Source organism: Homo sapiens, chromosome 8 (assembly GCF_000001405.40).
Source record: "Homo sapiens chromosome 8, GRCh38.p14 Primary Assembly".
NCBI classification, from domain to species: domain Eukaryota; kingdom Metazoa; phylum Chordata; class Mammalia; order Primates; family Hominidae; genus Homo; species Homo sapiens.
Genome location: NC_000008.11, coordinates 21,646,158 through 21,652,392, shown reverse-complemented (window position 1 = coordinate 21,652,392; position 6,235 = coordinate 21,646,158). Strand labels below are relative to the sequence as shown.

General features: G+C 45.1%; 1 annotated feature.

Annotated features, from left to right (window-relative positions):
* Positions 1,921-2,507: an enhancer, noted in NCBI's record as "NANOG-H3K27ac-H3K4me1 hESC enhancer chr8:21507398-21507984 (GRCh37/hg19 assembly coordinates)". NCBI's record gives its function as "activates a minimal SCP1, AML or CMV promoter by ChIP-STARR-seq in naive H9 embryonic stem cells {active_cell/tissue: H9 hESC(naive)}" and the evidence as "EXISTENCE:reporter gene assay evidence [ECO:0000049][PMID:30033119]".

Sequence of the window (6,235 nt, the reverse complement as noted above, 5' to 3'; positions counted from 1 at the left end):
CTGGGGCTCACCGAGAAGATATCTGAGTAAATATTTCAAGGAAGAAGTGAGGGCTTTCGTCTATGAATCTCTGGAGAGAGATCTTTTTAGGCAGAGAAACATCCAGGGGACGAGATGCAAAACGGGAGTGAATTGGTGTGTTGCAGAAATAGCAGTAAGGTCGTGTGGCTGTGGGAGTGAGTGGAGAGATGAGGTTGGAGATGTGATGGGGGCAAGATCGTGTGCTAGGGTCTTCCAGGTCATTGTAAAGACTTGTGTCCTTTTTCTGAGTGAAATATGGAGTCACTGGAGGATTCTGAGCTGAGCAGTGGTATGATCTGAATAATGATTTCAAGGGATCCTTTTGCCTGTTGTATTGGGACTAGACTACAGGGGGCAAATATGTAATCTGGGAGATCAGTTAGGAAGTTAAGACAGTGAGCCAGGTGACAGAAGTCCTGTGTGTAGCAGTGGAAGTGGTCAGATTCTGGATGTATTTTGAAGGTGGTGTTGATAGGTTTTGCTGGTGGAGTGTGTGGTGTGAGAGAAAGAGAGAATTTCAGATGGGCTCCAAGGCTCCCCTTTATCCCCAGTAAACTTTGGGTTGAAATATGCACCCACAGAAGGAACTGTGCCATCTCTATGCAAGACCACATCCCTGCTAGGCTCTCTTCTGGTGATATGGTTTGGATGCCCCACCCAAATCTTATGTTGAGTTGTAATCCCCCATATTGGAGGTGAGGACTCGTGGGAGTTGTTTAGATAATGAGGGCAGATCCCTAACGATAGCTTGGGCTATCCCCTTGGTGATAAGTGAGCTCTCGCTCTGAGTTCTTGCGAGATCTGGTCATTTAAAGGTGCATGACACCAGTCCTGCCACCTGACTTTCTCTCTAGCTCCTGTTCTGGCTATGTGATGTGCCTGTGCTCTCATTGCCCTCTACCATGATTGGAAGCTTCCTGAGGCCTCCCCAGAAGCACTATGTTTCCTATATATCCTGCAGAACCATGAGAAAATTAAATCTCCTTTCTTATAAATTACCCAGTCTCAGGTATTTCTTCATAGCAGTCCAAGAATGGCTTAACATAGAAAATTGGTACTGAGGAGTGGAGAATTGCTATAAAGATACCTGAAAATGTGGAAGTCACTCTGGAGCTGGGTAATAGGCAGAGGTTGGAAGAGTTTGGAAGGTTCCGAAGGAGACAGGAAAATGAGAGAAAGTTTGGAACTTATTAGAAACTGGTTAAATGGTTGTGACCAAAATACTGACAGTGATATGGACAGTGAAGTCCAGGCTGATGAGGTCTCAGACAGAAATGAAGAACTTATTGGGAACTAGAGCAAAGGTCACATGTGTTATGCCTTACCAATGAGCTTGGCTGGATTTTGTCCATGCCCTAGAAATCTGTGGAAGTTTGAACTTCATAGTGATGATTTAGGGTATCTGGTGGAAGACACTTCTAAGCAGCAAAGTGTTCAAGAGGTGACCTGGCTGCTTCTAACAATCTATGCTCAATGTGAGAGCAAAGGAATGAGTTAAATTGGAAACTTATATTTAAAATGGAAGCAGAGCATAAAAGTTTGGAAAATTTGCAGCCTGGCCATGTGGCAGAGAGAGAGAAAAAAAAAGCTTTTTCAGGAGAGGAATTCAAGCAGGCTGTGGAGCAACCACTTGCTAGAGATATTTGCATAACTAAAAGAGAGCCAAGTGCTAATATCCAAGACAGTGGGGGAAAAGCCTTGAAGCCATTTCAGAGACCTTCCTGGCAGGCCCTCCCATCACAGGGCCAGAGGCCTAGGAGGGGAGATTAGTTTTTTTGGGCCAGGCCCGGGGCACTGCTGCCCTGAGGAGCCTCAGTACAGCACTCCCTGCATCCTGGCCACTCTGGCTTCAGCCACAGGGCCCCAGATACAGCTTGGGACATTGCTTCAGAGGGTATAAGCCATGAGCCTTGACAGCTTTGTTGTGGTGTTAAGTCTGTAGGTGCACAAATGCAAGAATGAAAGAGGCTTGGGAGCTTCCACCTAGATTTCAGAGGATGCATGAGACAGCCTGGGTGCCCAGGCAGAAGCCTGCTACAGAGGCGAAACCTTCACAGAGAACCTCTACCAGGGCAATGCAAAGGGGAAATGTGGGGTTGGAGCCTCCACACAGAGTCCCCAATAGGGCACTGCCTAGTGGAGCTGTGAGAAGGGGGCCACTTTCTCCAGACCTGAGAATGGTGGATTCACTAGCAGCTTGCACCCTGCACCTGGAAAAACTGCAAGCACTCAACTCCAGTCAGTAAGGGAAGCGATGGTGGCTGAACCCTACAAAGTCACAGAGGTGGAGCTGTCCAAGACCTTGGAAGCCCCCTTCTTGCACCAGTGTGCCTGAGATGTGAAACATGGAGTTAAAGGAGATTATTTTGGAGCTTTAAGATTTAATGACTGCTGTCCTGGGTTTTGAACTTGCATAGGGCTGGTAACCCCTTTCTTTTGGCCAATTTCTTCCTTTTGAGATGGGAATGTTTACCCAATGCCTATACTCCCATTGTAGCTTGGAAGTAAGTAACTTGTTTTTGATATTACAGGCTCATAGGTGGAAAGGCTTACCTTGTCTCAGATGAGACTTTGAACTTTTGAGTTAATGCTGGAATGAGTTAAGACTTTGGGGGACTGTTAGGAAGGCATAATTGTATTATTGTAATATGAGAAGGACATTTGTATTTGGGGGGGCCAGGGGTGCAGTAATATAGTGTGAATGTCCCACTCAAACCTCGTGTTGAATTGCAATTCCCAATGTTGGAGGTGTTTGGATCATGAGGGTGCATCACTTGTGAATGGCTTGGGCCATCCCCTTAGTGATAAGTGAGCTCTTGCTCTGAGTTCTTGTGAGATCTGGTCATTTAAAGTGTTTGGTACTTCCCCTCCCTCACCTCTTGTTCCCATTCTCACCATGTGATGCACCTGCTCCCTCTTTGCCTTCTGCGATAATTGGAAGCTTCCCAAGGCCTTCCCAGAAGCAGATGCTGCTATGCCTCCCATACAGCCTGTAGAGCCATGAGCCAATTAAACCTCTTTTCTTATAAATTACCAGTCTCAGATTTTTTTTAATAGCAGTGCAAGAATGGCCTAACATACCTGGCCTGCCTACTTTCCTCACCCCACTTCTCCTGAGCATATCCCCTCAATAAGCTATTCCACAAGGACCTCCATCTCAGGCTTTACCTCTAAGGAGCTCGGAGATGATAAACTTTCACAAAAGTAATACATTCATGTAACCATCACCCAGATCAAGAAATTGAAACACTGCCAGCTCTCTGGAAGTCCCCTGGTGCCTCTTCCCAAAGATTGTCATCAATCTGAATTATAAAACCATAGATTAGTTTTGTCTGCTTTTAAACCTTATTTATTTATTTATTAGAGACAGAGTCTTGCTCTGTCACTCAGGCTGGAGTGCAGTGGTGAGATCATGGCTCACTGCAGCCTTAAACTCCTGAGCTCAAGTGAATCTCCTTCCTTAGCCTCCTGTGTAGCTGGGGCTACAAGGGTGCACCACCACGCCCAGCTAATGCTCTTAAATTTGATATAAATGCAATAATACAGTATGTACTCTTTTGTGTCTGGCTTCTTTCACTTGAGATTATGGCATTCATTCATAATGTTGCTTGTCATGGTAATTCATTCTCCTTCATTGTTGTATAGTATTGAATTGTGTGAATGTACAATGCTTTCTTATCCAATTTAATGCTGATGAGCATTTTGGATTGTTTCCAGGTTTTGGGTATTACAAATAATAATCCTGTTAATATTCTTCTTGTATGTGTGTTTTGCTGCACATATGTAGGGTGTGTAAGGATGGAATTGCTAGGTCATAGCTGAAAAAATATGTTTAGTTTTTTTTTTTTTTTTTTTTGAGATGGAGTCTTGCTCTGTTGCCCAGGCTGGAGTGCAGTGGCACTATCTTGGCTCACTGCAACCTCTGCCTCCCGCGTTCAAGTGATTCTCCTGCCACAGCCTCCCGAGTAGCTGGGATTACAGGCGTGTGCCACCACATCCAGCTAATTTTGTATTTTTAGTAGAGATGGGTTTCTGCTAAGCATTTTTTCACAGTATTTGTCCTAATTACCCTGCTGCCAACATGTATGAGTATTCCAGTTGCTATACATAATTGGTAACATTTGGTATTGTCTGTTCTTTTTATTTCAACAATTCTGCTGGTATTTTAGCAATTCTGCTGGCAGTGTTTCACTATGGTTCTAATTATTGATTCCCTGATGATGAAAAAAGATTGAGCAGATTTTCATGTATATTGACCATTTGGAAGTGTTAACTTTTATAAAAATGCCTGTTCATGTCTTTTTTCCATTGAACAAAAATTGGGTTGCCTTTTTTTTGTTGATTTTTAGGATTTCATTGTGTATTCTGGACACAAGTCCTTTGATTATATACAACACAAATATAATTTCTCAGTTGGGATTGCCTGTCACTTTCTGAATGGTATTTTTTTTGTGGACAGAAGCTCTTATTTGTAATGTTATTATTTATTTCCTTTCGGGTTAGTAGATTTTGTATCCTGTTGAAGAAATCTTTGTTTAACTCATGATCCTGAAACTGTTCTACATATTTTTTTCTAGAAGCTTTATAGTTCTAAGGTCTTTGACCTGAGCAACTGGAAGGATAGAGTTGCTATCCACTGAGATAGGAAGATGGGGAGTATCAGTGTCTGAGTGGGGCTGTGGGGAATTCAGGTTGGGATATGTTAAGTTCGAGGTAAATATTGAACATCGAAGTGAAATTTCATATAGATGATTGGATCGATGAATTGGGAGTTCAGCAGTTAGGTTGTCATGAACACAATACTAAAACAGTATTAGAGAGGATGCCAAACACTGAGCTCCCAGGCTTGGCCATGTTAAGAGTTCTGGATGAAGAAGAACTGGAAAAGGAGACTGAGAGAGCCAAACCAGCAAAATGGGAGAACAGCGAGAAGACTGTGGTGTTCTGGAGGGCTGGTGAAGAAAGTGTACGTGGGAGAAGGGTCAGTGCTGTGTTGAATGTCGTGGACATGTCATGTAAAATGAGGACTGGAAATTGCACCTTGGATTCAACAACAGGGAGATGACTGGTGACATGATAAGAACAGTTTTGGAGGAGGGTGGGGAGGAAAGGCAGATTGGAGGAGGCCCAGAAGAGAAATGACTGGATTAAGAAGTCTGCTGCTGGTAGCTATGACTCTGTGAGAGCCCAGGCCAGGCATCAAGAGTGTAGAAGGGAGGGAGCTGCTAGTCCCAAGTGAGAGCAGCAGACACAGGAGTGAATCCGATAATCCTGCCAGACCCCAGAGCTGTTTTAATGAGCCAGCCCAGGTAGGTGGGTGCTTGCTGAGGAAGAGCTCCTGAGCAGACCCATGGGGGCTTGGAAGGGAGAGACAGCTTTATGGAAGTCCTGGGCCATGTCGAGTTCATAGGCACAGCACATAGTGCTCTCTATGCATTTCCCAGCTCATTTCCCCCTTTTGTTTCCTCCCTCCCGCTTCTTGTTCCTTCAGTGCAGAACTTTCAGCTTGGGGGTCCCTATTGCATCAGCTGTCCACATGTCAGGGTCTTCATTTAGTCTGTTTCCTATCCTAGAATCTCCCCCACGGCTTCCTCCTGACTGATTCCTACGTATCCTTCTCGTCTCAGTCAGGAAACACATCCTCTGGGAAGTCTTCCATGACCGTTTAACATCTAGCATCTGCCTCCGTGGCATTCCTCTAGGTGAGTTCAATGGTCTCTTTATCTGTGTATCTATAGCACTTGATGATGACCTTCTTATGGGCTGTGTCTCATGCTTATCCATTTCCGTCTCATGCACAATGACTGGCATAGGGTCCTCACAGGGTTTTAGCAGGGGGACTATGGAGGCCTTTGCATTAAGTGCAGGATGTGGACGGGCTACCAGGAGGGAGAATGGTATTCCGGGAGGAGAACAGTGTGAGCAGTGACTCAGCAATGCAGCCGTGTTGATCAGGGCATAGGTGGGAGCCTGAGAGCCAGGCCTGGCTGACGGTTTGAGGTGAGACTAGAAAGAGACAGTGATGGCTCAGTGGGTGCCGGCCACATCGGAGAGGCAGCAGGTGCGTGTGTACTTGCAAATGTAGCCGTTGAAGAGAGAAATTATGGATATCAAATCAAGCTAATTTACATGGATAAGTGCAACCAGTGAGGCTTGGTTTGTGGGAGCTGATTTATTTAGGGCAGGAGGAGATCCGGCAGGGAGCTCCCCTCAG